At 46.7% G+C, this 14,510-nt stretch overlaps 1 protein-coding gene and 1 long non-coding RNA gene across 15 annotated transcripts in view; one reads left to right on the forward strand and one right to left on the reverse strand.

The window, feature by feature from the left end:
- WSCD2 (WSC domain containing 2) overlaps window positions 1-14,510 on the forward strand; it is a 121,250-nt gene that overhangs the window by 73,785 nt on the left and 32,955 nt on the right. For 9 of the 13 annotated variants that reach the window (XM_017020244.2, XM_017020243.2, XM_017020248.2 and 6 more), the window contains 2 exons: window positions 3,217-3,331; window positions 7,049-7,233. The exons of the other annotated variants lie outside the window; for them this stretch is intronic. In XM_017020244.2, coding sequence (XP_016875733.1) covers window positions 3,217-3,331; window positions 7,049-7,233 — 300 coding nt within the window. The remainder of the gene's footprint in view (window positions 1-3,216; window positions 3,332-7,048; window positions 7,234-14,510) is intronic. 13 annotated transcript variants of the gene reach the window in all.
- Window positions 1-14,510, reverse strand: part of LOC124903077 (uncharacterized) — a 49,492-nt gene that overhangs the window by 12,111 nt on the left and 22,871 nt on the right. The window lies entirely within an intron of this gene.

The following is a 14,510-nucleotide window of genomic DNA, read 5'->3' on the forward strand; positions in this document are numbered from 1 at the left end:
ATGGATTTGGTCTGAGACCCTCACTGTGGGGTGGACTCGGGCAAGTTGCTAAGCTTGAGTATCAGTGTAGTAGTTAGTGCTCCCCCTACCCTGGTGCCAAGGGACAAAAATCCACCTTGAACTAGCTTAAGCTAAAGAAGAAAATGCATTGTGTCATGTCATCAAACTACAGCAGTGGCTCTGCTGGACTGGATTTTTTAAATGAATAATTGGTGGTCTTCTTCCTGTCACTCTCATCTCTGCTCTTCTATGCCTTGGCTAGTTTGTTCTCCTACACAGATTGGCCTTGGTGCCAGGGACTGGGCTGGTGGTAGCTCTGGGGTTATAGCACCTGGGAGAGGCAGATTTCTTCCTCCCAGCTTTACTCTATCAGAATGCAACAAATGGGTCATGTGTCCTTCCTTGAAGCAAACACTGGCTGCTGGGATGGACAATATGATTGACCTTGCCAAGGTCATCATGTCTCCTGTGGTCAGGGAAAGTAAGGTCTGCTGATGGAAAAACCTATCTAGAGCAAATGCTTTGAAGGCACAAACAGTCCACTACAGTCCACCCCTTCACTCCATGATGGACACGCAATGGACATGCCCACATACATCTTTACTCCCATTAATTTGCTTATAAAAATCTTATCTAACATGATCCACTGTTCCATAGGTAGCCGAATGTGCCTATCCTTACCCTAAGGTGAAGTCATCCAAAGTCCTATCACATCCAACTTCAAGCCCAGCATTTCTGCAGCATGAGCATTCCTCCCCTTCAGGTCTTGGGGTGGCCAAAGAGAAATGAAACTTCCTCAAGTGTAAGATGGTTGGAGGACAGACCTGGGCTTTAATTTGAAGTGAGATGCTACAAGCTGTAGGAACTTGGGCAGATGACATAGGTTCCCATTGCATTTTGAAAAGAGGAAAAGCGGAAGTAACATGAGTAGTTACCAGTCAGAACATACACCATATGCCCAAACTAAGATTTGCTTCTAAGGTAAACAGATAGAAGAGTCACTATGATCAGTTGCCTCATCTCTAAAATGGGTTCATAAGAAGTTTGTGAAGATTGAATTTTTAAAAAATGAGACATGGCCCACAGTAAAGTAGATAGCACGTAGTAGGTGTTCAATACATGATAGTTTTGTCTCCTCTGTTTCTGTCTTTGTCTCTCTCTCTCTCACACACACACAGACACACAACCTGTTGATCTGCTGACAAAAACTTCAGGCCACCAAAATAAACCAAACTTTACCCCCTCTCTTCCCTTCCCTCTCTCTCCCACCCTACTCCATCATCCCTCCTTCCTTCCTTTCCTTCCTGCTCTTTCTCCCTCCAGCTCCCTGTATTTTTCCCTCTTGCCTATCCTACAATGCATCTTTAGACACTCAGTCCTCTAGGGAATGGCTGAACTGAAGTTAGTGTGCAGCCCTTGCCCACGTGGCCACAAAGTGCTTTCTCCCAGCTCAGGTGTGAACAGCATTCGTGCCCCAAGTCAAGGGCTGTGACTCCATCTGTGGTGGGAGGGGCGCGCGCTGTTGAACAAGCACAGAGACAAGACCCGGGCTTCTCCAGGGTTGTCACTGTCTGGTGTGCCTGCTCCAGGGAGATGATGCTTCTTTTAAAGATGGACTGTTCTTAGTCCAGCAAATCACCTCTGTCTTATGAAGGAAATTCAAGGTGATCAGGTCAAGACACATCTCCAGCGGGGCTGAAAAAATAGTGCACTTAGCAGAGCCGTGTTCAGGGGAATGATTGCTCAGTAATGAGCCTGCATTCTCTGCTAGATCCTGCTCTCCCCACAAGGAAGCAAGGAAAGAAGCTCAGTTTAAACCAGACAGCTGCCTAGCCAAAGAAGTGATTAAGTGGCATTTAGTATTTTCTTCAATCATTCCCTATAAGGGACATTTAATTCCAAGTGCTGGCTGGATCCCCGGTCTAACCTCCAGTTACTGATTTGGGGGTCTCATAGACCTGGATTTAAACATTTATTCTGTGAACAATTAGCTATGGGTCTTAGGGAGGCCACTTCACCTTTCTGGGCCGCTGTTAAATCATCTAAGATAAGAGCATGACAATGTCAATGTTCTCCACTTCACATGGGGGCATTACAAAGATCCCCCAACTCAAAAAGCAAGCAGTTCAGAGCACAGGCTCTGAAACCAGATTGCTTGGCTTCAATTCTGAATCCACACATATGAACTGTGTTACTTTGAGCAAGTGACTTCTCCGGGCCCTTTTCTCTTCTGTATACAACGGTAATAATATTCTCATAGGATCGCTGTAAGGATGCAAGGAGACAATGTATGTAAAGCACTTACCAAAGTGAATGTCCAAATAATAATAATAATAATCTTAAAAAACATATGGGAAAAGACATTATAAACTGTGAAGTGCTATTTTCATGTATAGGGGTTACTATTTACCATAAAGTGCAAGAAAAATGTTTACTACTTTAAGAAAACTAAGTGTATGATTTATAATTGGATGGTTATTTCACATTATTTACAATTTTCCTTTGAATGGAAACATTCACCTTGACCCACAATAGAGGCAAACTGTAAAGTACTTTACACAGCACTGTGAATGGCCAGTTTCTTATTCTACTCATCTTAATTTGATGCCTATCATATGCAAGACACTATGGTAGAAACTTTTACATAAATCATTCTATTTTAACCTCACTGGATTGTTATTTTTGTTCCTGATTCAAATAAAACTAGGTATCTGAAAGGTTAACTGGCTTAAACTTTCTAGGCCCATGCTAGGAGGTAAACGAAGTGAAATGAGGACCTAGACCTTGAGATAGCTAAGTCCAGGGCACTTTCCAAAGGAAAAATATATGTTTTAAGGCAGCTTGTAGAGATAGCAACATGTTGTCAAATGTTAAGCCTTTTAGAGCTGTCTTAATGCAAGAAATAGGAAGCTCTGTTTGGTGCTTAGGGAGTGGCCTTGGCTTGGGTTCCTGGATGCCCAGCTGTCACCAGGTGACCTCAAGGGCTTGGCTGCAGCCCACAGAAGGCTTCACTCCTCTCTATTGGTCTCCGCTGCCCTGATTAGACCAGGTTCTGCCAAGACAAATGACTTTCACTCTCTCATTTCTGCCCAAAGGAAGGACTTGACATTAAAAGGTCAACAAGGTCACATAACCAGAGACACATTGGTGAGGCTTCCTCCTGTAACCCTTGCAGCTTTGTCCCCAGCCACCTTTGACGTTTTCCTTTCCCCAAAGCCAAGTACATCGGCTGCTACCTGGATGACACCCAGAGTCGGGCCCTTCGAGGAGTGTCCTTTTTTGACTACAAAAAGATGACCATCTTCCGTTGCCAGGACAACTGTGCTGAACGGTAGGGTCCCAGCATCCCAGACTTGTCCATTTCAGGCCCTTCCTTCTCAGATTCCCACCTGTGGTATTCTTTGCCCTGCTATGGGAGGGTGTGTTGAAGGGTGAGCACGTGACCACAGGAAAGGTTGACGCAAGGGTGTGTGTGCATTGTGTGTATGTGCATAAGCACATCCACACAACTGAGGACTGCTCAAGAGTTGGTCTATGGGAGTCTGTGGTTGTGCAACTGTGTCATATTGTGTCTAGGAACAATTTTGTAGCATACAGGGTACAGGGTCAGCTAGCTGTGTTTGTGAGCTTAATGCCAATATGCAATGATCTTTAAATAATAGTGGCCGTGTATGCAGGAGTCTTTGTGAATATGTGTGCAAGGGCTGAGAGTTGTGCTTGTGTGTGTAGGTGTCTGATTGCATTTGTTGAATGTTCAACAGTGTGTTGAGAGCATGCAAGGTTGTGAAGAATTGCACACAACTTAGAAATGCACCATTAGATGTGCATGTGCATGCAGATGAGTAAGCATAAGGCTTGCAAGATGTCCAAATGAAGGGTAAGGTGAAGGTATCTAATAGTTTCTCAATATATAAACTCCTTGTTTTTCTCCAAGGGAGAAACACTTGCCTGTTCAGACAGTGTTTTCCAATCTAAGAAGACAACGATGATTTTTATTAGACATGCACTGGGACTAGGGGGGAGTGAGTTGATGTTTTGAGAGTGGACAAGTCCCCAGAGGCCTGGTGAACAGGGACAGGACCCCTGGGGGCACCATGGGGCTGAGCTGAGCTTCTCTCCTTGTTTCTTGGGCCCCTTGACCTTGTAGTGGCTCATGAAGAGGCTCTAATATGCTCACCTTCAGGCTCCAGGTGGCTGTCTCTGACGGTCACAAGCTCTGCCAACCTCAGCTGCATGCCTGGTGTGGAAATGGGCAAGTGGATGACCCCTGAGAGACTCTTCCTGCTGTTCTTTATTTTTTATTTTTTATTTTTTTGAGACAGAGTCTTGCTCTGTCACCCAGGCTGGAGTGCAGTGGCATAATCTCGGCTCACTGCAACCTCCGCCTCCCGGGTTCAAGCAATTCTCCTGCCTCAGCCTCCTGAGTAGCTGGGACTACAGGCGCATGCCACCATGCCTGGCTTTTTTTTTTTTTTTTTTTTTTTTTTGGTATTTTTAGTAGAGAAAGGGTTTCACCATGTTGGTCAGGATGGTCTCGATCTCCTGACCTCGTGATCTGCCCACCTCGGCTTCCCAAAGTGCTGGGATTACAGGTGTGAGGCACCAAACCCAGCCCCTGCTGTTCTTGATTAGGAAACACTGTCCCCTTTAAAATCAGCTGCCTAGGGAGCCCACTATTAAAATCCTGAGCCCAGGACCCTCTCCAATTTGAAAAGGATTCCAAGTCCTTGATAATATGAAATCACTAACTTATCTGTCAAACTTGGGTGCAGGGGGGCGGGGGAAACAGAGGTGCATTCTACACAGCCCCTGGCCTTAATGAGCTCACAGCCGGCAAGGGGAGACAAACATGTAAACAGAGAGGGATAACATAGTCAGATAAGGGTTGAGATGGAAGAATCGCAGGCAGTTAGACATGCAGACAAGGTCTAAGCTGCCTGGGGTGAAAGGAAATACTTCTCAGAGAAGGTGTCAGCCAAGATAAGTCAGAGCTACTCATGTAATTCAATTTGGTTCAGCAAATATTTGTTGACTGCCAGTGGGTGCTGGACCTGATTCCAGGTGCTGGAGATGAAGAGATGAGCCATCCACAGCCCTGTCCTCAGGGGGGCTTCCCATCTGGTTGGGGAGATAGAGGCATGAACAATAGGCTTGGGCAATAGAATAACAACAGTTTATAACAGTTAAAAAGCACTTGTTCTGTGCCAGGCACTGTCTGAGCATTTTGCAAATATTAACTGTTTAACTTCACAAGACCCCTATGAGGCAGGAATGCTATGAGCCACATTCCACAGATGAGGAAACCAGGGTACAGAGACATCAAGTATAATGGGTGCTGGGGTGGATGTGCTTTGCAAGGTGCAGGAAAGTCAAGAAGATGGAAGGGATGGAGGGCTCCATGTGGAGGGTTTAGGAAGAGTTATCACAGTGAGACCATAAGCTGGGTTTTGAAGGATGAGTAGGAGTTTTCTAGGTAGGGCAGAAATAACAGCATGCTCAAAGGCCAGGACTCCTGAAATACACTGAAACACTCAGGGTGCTCAGGTAGGCAGCATGGGAGTACACAGAGGGTACAAAGGGAGTATCAGGAGGGGAAGCCACAGAGGTGTTCAAAGCCCAGTGAAATGGGGACTTGAAAGCTAACTAAAGCATCCAGATTTGACCAGGAGGGCAATGGGGAGCCACTGCAGGGTGTCTATCAGGGAAGTGGTCTACATTCATTCTATGAATGTGTATTAATCATCTGTCATATGCCAGGCATTGTCCAGGGATAGGTGGGCAAGACCCACAGGGTCACTGCCCTCCTGGATATTATATTCTAGAGAATAAGAACAAAAGCAATTTACAAACTACATTAAAAATCACTAATATCATTTCAAAAGTGATGAGGGTGTCTAAAGATATTATATTCTAGAGAACAAGAGCACAAGTGCTCCCTCAAGCCTCTTTTATGGGTTTTCCTGAACCTCAGTTTTCCTCCATCTCAGGTTTTGTCCTTCCTACTCCCAGAGCCAGAGCAAGCAATGCTCTTTTCATTTGTTTACAGAGTGGGGTAGCCACTAAGCGTCCTTTTTAGGAAAGGATTCCATCACTATGAAAAATTTCAAAAAAACTTGAAAACCTTGCAGTGCCTGGATTTTTATTTTTAGGAATAAATATTTCCTTGATGAATGTGTGAGCTCATTTTTGTCTTCTCTCGAAGGGGTGTGAGAGTCCCTGCCTCCCTCATGAGCTCCCTGTGCCTCTTCCCCTCACCCTAGCTCCTCTCAAGGGACAAGGAGGCACCATTCCTGGGTGATATTTCCAAGAATAAAGAAGCTGGACTCTGGAGAGATGAATGTCTCAGGTTTCCAGACAGGGAAAAGCAAGAAAGAGAGTGGGGTAGGGGAGACCACAGGATCTGGGGTGTGTGTGTGTGACAGGTGTACCATGAGCAGGTGTGTACAGGTGAGTGTGAATATGGACATGGTGTGTCTATGTGAGTAGGTGTAGAAGGGTGAAGATGAAGGCAGGTGGATGGTCCCTGGGTGTTCCTGTCCCCTCCCTGGGTCTCTATGTCCTCTAGGGGCCTCCCTGTATTCCTTCTTGGCTTTCCTGCCTCCACGCTGCCCCACTGCAAGGCCAACTCTGCAGCCTCCCTGACTCCTCTTAGGGTCTCCTTATCCCAGACCCAGATCCCCCTGCCCCATGGAGCATGCCTGTCTCACAGATCTCCTGGAGTCTCCCTGCCCACCTCAGGGTCTCCCCTGCCCTCTTTCCAGGGTCTTCCTGTGTGCTACCTCCCTAATCTCATTTATTTGGTGTCCCCCTGTCTCCCGAAGGCCCCCATCTCCCAGGTCTCCACAATGGGTGGGTCTCCTGTCCCCTGAGGTCTCTCCTGTCCCCTGGGGTCTCCCAGTTGCCCCAACCTCCCATCAGCAGTCTCCCCATTTCCCCTGGGATCTCCTGGTCCCCAGAGCCCTCCCATCCCCCAGGTCTCCATGTTGTGTCTCCCTGCCTCGGGGTCTCCATGGTGGCAGCTACCCTGCTTGACAGCAGCCTCCCCCAGGGGTTACCTGTATGGCGGGCTGGAGTTCGGCGCCGAGTGCTACTGCGGCCACAAGATCCAGGCGACGAACGTGAGCGAGGCAGAGTGCGACATGGAGTGCAAGGGCGAGCGAGGCAGCGTGTGCGGCGGCGCCAACCGCCTCTCTGTCTACCGGCTGCAGCTGGCCCAGGAGTCGGCCCGCAGGTGTACGTGAGTCTGCCCTGCCCCTCTCTGCTGCTCCTCCCTCAGCTGCAGCCCTTGCCCACCAAAGAGTCCCACATGTCTGCCCTGTACCCTCCATGGCTCCCCATCACTCCAAGGCCACCACCGTCCTGCCCCTGCCTCACCTCTCCCACTCCCTCACAGAGCCCTTTGCCCCAGCTCCTTTGAATGGTCCTGCATGCGCTTTTCTCTCCCTCCCACTGAGCTGCGTCTGGTTCCAGCTGTATCCCTCATTCTCACCAGTCTTCCTCCTTCTGAAACTGAGTTGGAGCCTGAGCCTCGCCTTCCCATCCTGATTTTCTCAGAGCAGACTGTCTCTAATGATGATGATGGTGGTAATGGCAATAGCAAACACTTTGTCCTTTTCTCCATGCCTCATATAGAATAGCACATCTAATCTTCACAATGACCCTTGACATAGGTACTATTATTTACTTATTCCCATTTTACAGATGAGGAAACTGAGTCTCAATGTCATAAAGCTTGTAAGCAGCAGAGAATTTAAACCGACTCTGGAGTCCTTGATGCTTTCAAAGAGAGAATTCATCCTGGCTTTTTCAAGCTTCTGGTTTGAGTCTTGTTGGAAAATCTCTCTGATTTCCAAACCAACAGAAGGAGGGAGTGAATAAGAGGACAGGAGCTGGCTCCTTGTCTGAGGGCACTCCTGGGTCCCCTCCTGGGGACTGGGGAGGAATGTTTAATGACAGCTAGTAACTATTTATAAATAATCTGCTGTATGCCAGGCACTGTCCTAAGCCAATTACAGACCTGATTTCATTTACCTTCCCTACAGCCTTTTCAGGTAATTACTGTTGTTCATTATCCCCAACCAGTCCAAGGTCACATAGCCTAATTCCAGATGACCTTAAGACCTATGAGAAGAGTTAATGGGCTTGATAAAAGATGGGGGGTGCTGACCTTTCTGGGGGTTACCCCTCCCACACAGTCCAAGGACAGAAGCAGAAATCCACAGCTGCTTCTCTAGCCCTCTGGCCAGTGCTTCCCAGATTTGCATGTGTCTGAGAGTTCCCCTGGGAGATCTTGTTAAAATGCAGATTCCAATTCAGCAGGTTCAGGGAGATGCTGCATTTCTAAAGAGCTCCCAGGTGATGCCAGGATGCTGGTCCATAGACCACATTTTGAGCCTCTGTGGATCTCGTCCAGAATGTAGTCCTGCCCACCCGGGTGGCTTTAGCAGAAAGTTAACAGCTAGTCTGTTTGCAGAGAAGGGCCTCTTGCATGTGAATTTCATCGTTTATAGAAACTCATTGTTTGTTTGCTTGAAAATGTGTCCAGTGTTTCAAATCCCATATATATATATATATATATACATATATATATATATTTTTTGAGACAGAGCCTCACACTGTTGCCCAGGCTGGAGTGCAATGGTGTGATCTTGGCTCATTGCAACCCCCGTATGCCAGGTTCAAGCAATTCTCCTGCCTCAGCCTCCCAAGTAGCTGGGATTAGAGTTTCCCGCCACCATGCCTGGCTAATTTTTTTTTTTTTTTTGTATTTTTAGTAGAGACAGGGTTTCACTGTGTTGGCCAGGCTGGTCTCAAACTCCTGACCTCGTGATCCACCCACCTCAGGCTCCCAAAGTGCTGGAATTACAGGCATAAGCCACCACACCCAGCCTCAAATCCCATATTTTTGAAGCTCCATTCAAGCTTTGCTGTGCAATAGGGTCAAGCATGCGGTCAATTTGCAAACTGGCTGGTTTTTCCAAATTAACTGCAACTTCCACCTCCCCATAGTCACATCAGTTCAGGTATGAAGCCCTAGGAGGGCAGAGGGCAGAGGACAGAGGTAGCATGTGAAATCCAGGCCAGAGAATGTCCATAGAGTGGCTTTGTGGTTTGGCTGCTAATATTATGAGTTTTTAACTTAGTGGCAGATTTGTCACCTTTACAACTGATCGCCTTTATGTCAATATTTATGTTATGTTATTTTGATAGCAACATTTGGACCATCTGAAGAGATGACCTGAAAGTCAGGGATATTTATAGGGAAAGCTGCTGCCAGTAACACATCCTAGTGGATGAAGCTGAGACAGATAACAAGAATTGGACTGTGTATGTCATTAGCCAGACACTAGCCAGACCTCCTTTTGGTTAATGTTCAGGTTGGCTGAATAACCTGGACACACTCTCTCTCAATATCTCTTTCTCTCCTCTCTCCCCTCTCTCCTTCTCCCCACCTCTCTCTTCCTCTTTCTCTCCCCCACCTTCCTCCCTCTCTCTTCCGCTGTCTCTCCACCCCCATTTCTCTCTCTCTCTCTCTCTCTCTCACACACACACACACACACACATTCAGACACACACACACACTGCTGTGATCACCTTGTATTATATAATAACACTTTCATTGGCCATGGGTGAGCTGGGGGGCTGCTGGCAGGAACAATGCTGCACCCCTCACCTGCCCCCTTCTGTGTGGCACAATTATTTGGGTGGTGCTTTGTACCATCTGAGAATAGCATTTTTGTATTATGTCCAAGAGGAAGAAACACACTTATTTCTACTGAGAGTGGAGTCCTGGATTCTCTAAAGTCCATCACCGTTGTTCCGAATCATCGCCATGTAAGGTTTGAAGCTTGAGCACCTTCAGCTGGAGACCCTAAAAGAAAATCTAAGCCTTATTAGCCTTGAGGCTACTAAGGCTGAGACTTAGAAGGGAGGCAGCTTGGACAAGGAGAGAGATGGTTGACAATGTTTCAAATCCAGTTGGCAACATGGTATACAAAGAGAGTGCAGGGACCATTCATTGAACCAAAACACTTGATGAGCTCCTCTGTGGATGAGGTATGGAGAGGCTCAGTGGTCAGTAAAGCACAATGCCTGACCTCAAGGAGCTTTCCATCTCATGGGGCAACAGACCTGATACTAATGAAATTGGTTCAACCATGAGTTAAAAGGATAATTTTGTGCAGACCCAATACAAGTAGGATTGGTTGAACCACAGACCCAGAGGGCTGCGGGGGCTCTGTCTTCAAGAGCCAAGGGAGCAACTTTTGAGCTGAATCTCATTCTGAGAGGATTCCAGGTGAAAGGGACAGCCATGTGTTCTAATTCATGATCAAAAGTCCAGAGTCAGCAAAGGTCATGTGTTGAATGCTATGTTGGAAGCACCTTTCTCACTGATGTCTGCATTTTATATTTGTAGAAACTGTGGCTCAGAGAATAGAAATGGCTAAATTGAACAGCACTGGGGGAGGCTCCACAAAGAAGGGGGCAGCTCGATAAAGGAGGGGACATTTGACAAGAGCCTTGAAAGGTTGTTGCCTGGCAGAGAAGAGGAGGATACCCAGACTCAAGACAAATCACCAAGCAGTGGGAGAGGAATTAGGCAAATAAAAGAGTGCACAAAAGCCTGGTGCCTATTGCAGGAAATGACTGGCAGGCATGGTTTTTCCAAGGCTACTGTGCCTCTTAGGGACTGACCATGGGCTTGAACCCAGGTCCATGAATCCCAGTTAGTATACCCACTTGCTACAGTGTTGTAGACACCCTGACCCTGGAATTTGGTTCAGAACACCATCTCTCTTTTAGGGGAGCTCCTTGGCTCCAGCTCATCTCCTTCCTTCCCTGACCCTGATCCCTCCTTCCACCTTGTTTCCAGACTCTAGGCAATGTGAAATCTGCAATGTCTTTGCTCTGACTCAGTGGTGCCTTCGATTTCCTAGGATTATGCCTAGGATTTGCTTTGTACACAAAGAAGTCAGAAAGGGATGCCTTCCAAGTCACTGGCACACAACTCTGGCATGTATTACATCAGGCAAGAGAAATGAGCGAACACTCCAGCAAACAGCTATGGCAGAAACCAGATTTCATTTGTAGAGTCATTAGTTGGTATTAACACTGTGTCCTAATTGTGTTTTCCTAAGCAGTGGCACAGAACCTTTAATGATTGGAGAGATCTAAAGGAAGGTTTTTATCTCCCAAGGACCATTCTGGTGGGGCATCTGCCTCGCACAGGATGCCAGCCTACGTGTTTCTGAGGTGAGGTGATGGAATGTTCCCATAATAGTGAGAGCATTAAAAGGTTAGCAAAGCAAATGTCTGCAGGCACCCTGCTATTCTGCCTTGACACAGACTCTCGGGCACGTGGACTCTTTGCCCTTGTTACAAAAGAACTGAGAAATGGACTTCTTTCTTGGTCAGATTACATTTTTCACAGCAGTTTGCTAAATGTGTCGGCAAGTGTAGCTCTCCTCCCAGGGATAGAGACCTGCTGGTGATTTGAGAACATTATGGCTTTACGCGATGTTGCAAGAAATTTCATTTGCCTGAAAGATTCTTGCAAGATTTGGGTTGCAAAGTTCATCAGAACGGGGCTCCTGAGTCCCAAGGGTGGCTGTCCATGGTGCTGACCACTGCACTGCCTAAAACCCCAATGATGGCAAATCAGCCTCTCCCAGGGATGTGTACTTTTTTCCTTTTGTTTTTTCCTTCCTAGTTTAGTGAAGACATTATGAAGCTTACACTATCACTGAAAAAATAGATACCTTGTTTATGGTTCACAATTTTTTACATGGTGGTTTTTGTGTACTGTTGTTAATTCCGGCAATTTTTTGTCTCCCAAAGTTAGGAGAATTTTGTGCAGTGCTTTGCTTTATGTTCACTGATACTCCATTCCAACTACTTTTACTGAGGGGAACCCTCAGATGATTAGGGGACAGTCACATTTGCTGGAATGGACCATGTCTAGTTCCTTCTTTGCTAGACCTGGAGGCTTCTTCTACTTCCCTTTGCTGTAGGTCTGGGAGCCCTGAATTTCATAATTCATATGGGACCCCATGAGCTCTTCTCTGTAGGGCCAAGGGAATGATAGAAAATATTTCTTCTTCTGCATCATGATGGGAGAGAATTGGTTTGCTCTTCTCCCCTAAGCAAAATCTAGGCCATTGGACAGGAAAATATTGGGAGCAATGCAGGTTTTGGAATCAGGCATAATGTTTCTATCCCAACTCTCTCACCTGATGGCTGTATTGACTTTGGCCAAGCCACTCGTTCTTTCTAGGCGTCTGGTGCTTCGTCTATAAAATGAAGACAATCCCAATCTTTCACAATTTCTGGGGCCACCGAGTGAGGTAAAGACTAGAAAGCACCTAGCACAGTGCCTGTTACAGAGTAGCTTTTTCCTAATGGAAACTCCCCAATTCACTCCGAGAAGCACCCAATTCAAGTGATTTGAATTTCCAACAGCCCACAGGAGCCTTTGGTAATGTCTAAAAATAGCTGGCTTGAATTCTCTTTGGACAGTTAGGCTCTTTGTGTAATTCAATCTCTCTCTGATTATAGGTAGCTAGGTAGCCATTAACAGCTTCCAGCTCACTGCCTTTCCTCCTCACCAGCATCTTTAATGCAGTGGAGCTTGGCCTAATTACCCAGGGGTTGGTGGCTTCTTTCAAACCAAGGAGAACTCTTCCACGGCTGCCTCTAAGCTGATGCCTGGTGACATTTACCTCATTTTTGTGAAGCTCCAGAACAAAGAGATGATAGGACTTCAGAGACACTTGCAGCTGGTTCCGGGCTGTTCTTCATCTGCCCCCAGCAAAGGGAGTTGATGAACAGTTGCTCTGCTTGCTTCTTGCTAGTAAAAAGCCCAAGCTGCTGAGGTCATGTACCATCCCAGCTAGCCTGGCAATGCAGAGCTGACATTGTCAGAATGTGGGGCATGGGCTTTTGCAATCCTTGGACTCCCACTGTGGGGCCGAGAGGATTTCTGGAAAATTCAGGTAGCTGGAATGGGGGTCTATGGAGCCCAACTTGTTAAAATTGAGCAGATCTTCTTCAGGATAGTAGAGATGGGAAACAAGGATGTGATGTCAAACAAGATTGGGGTCAAATCCCAGCTCTGCTCCCTACCAGCTGTGTGACCTGGAAAAGTAATTGAATCTTGCTAAGTTTCAGGGTCTCTGCCTACAAAATAGGATAATAATATTGTTCACCTCATAGGTTGCTGTGAGGATTAACTGAGATATAATACACACAACATACTTAGCACTAATGACATAGAGTAAACAGCTGTTATTACTGCCATCATTGCTATTATATAGAAAGGTTTGATCATTAGGAAGATGCCATCCAGGGCTACTGCTGTTGTCATTCATGACTCCAGGGAGTACCATTCACATAGACTATGAGCTGTGAAAAGCAGTGGCCCTGAAATCTGTGAAGGATTTTCCTTGTAACTGAAAGTGCTCAAAGATCCAAGGTGTTTTAAGTTGGGTTCCCCCAATACAGGGATGTGAACCTTGGCTACCTGGAAGGTGTTGCCAAGATGCACCCATAGGGGACTAGAAAGGTTAGATGGGGAAGAAAGCTAATACAGGGTCCCTGACAAAGCAGGTCTCTAGTGAGGACAATGGAAGCTTAACCCCACTGGAGAGCTCTGGAGGATGGTATTGAACAAACCTCAGACGTGTTCCACCTGAGGAGCAGAAAGCTGCTGTATTTTTTTTTCCTCCAACTCTCATCCATCATTGGCTGAGGGTGGCTCCTGGGGAAATTAACACCCTGGCAGGCCCAGCCTGTCCCTCACAGGCCCTAAGGCAGAGTCATGGTCACTATCAGCCAATAATGGAATGGCAAATGCCAAGAGCAGGCATATTAATGGACTACTGACAGCAAACAGTGCATGGGATCTAGCCACCTTCCACATATTATGGGCAAGTGATGAAAGGAACAGGAAGTGGCATGGTTTGAGTACTTGTTATGTCTCAGACACTGTTGTAAATGCCATCTCATAGACTTTCACCCCAACTGTGCAGGGTAGATACAACAATCCTCATGTACAGATGAGAAAAACTGAGGCTCAGCAAAGTGAAGACACCTGCCCAATGGCACACAGCTAAGTAAGCAGCTGACCCAGGTCTGTCTGACTTAAAGCCAAGGCCCTTTCCTCGGGACACCAGAGCCTTTTGCAAACAAGAAAGCATCTTTTCACTGCTATGGAAATCCAGAATTCTTTATACCACAGGAGAGTGTCAGGGAAGCCAAGAGATTCCCTAGCCACTTCCCTTTCATTTTCAGACATAAGAGATGAAAGAGCCTCTCACCCACTGAAGGGGAGGGCCAGGTGACCCATATTGCAGATGCAGGAAATGAGGGAAGTGGGGAGATTAAATGTCTTGGCTACCGTGTGTATTCTGTGTCCAGATCACCAAGACAGTGGAGAGCCACCTGCAGAGAGAGATGGTCTCCAGAGAGCTCCCCAGGTCCCTGGGTGTCGAGCTAAACCCTTCCCTTCCTGG

Source organism: Homo sapiens, chromosome 12, assembly GCF_000001405.40.
Source record: "Homo sapiens chromosome 12, GRCh38.p14 Primary Assembly".
NCBI lineage: Eukaryota > Metazoa > Chordata > Mammalia > Primates > Hominidae > Homo > Homo sapiens.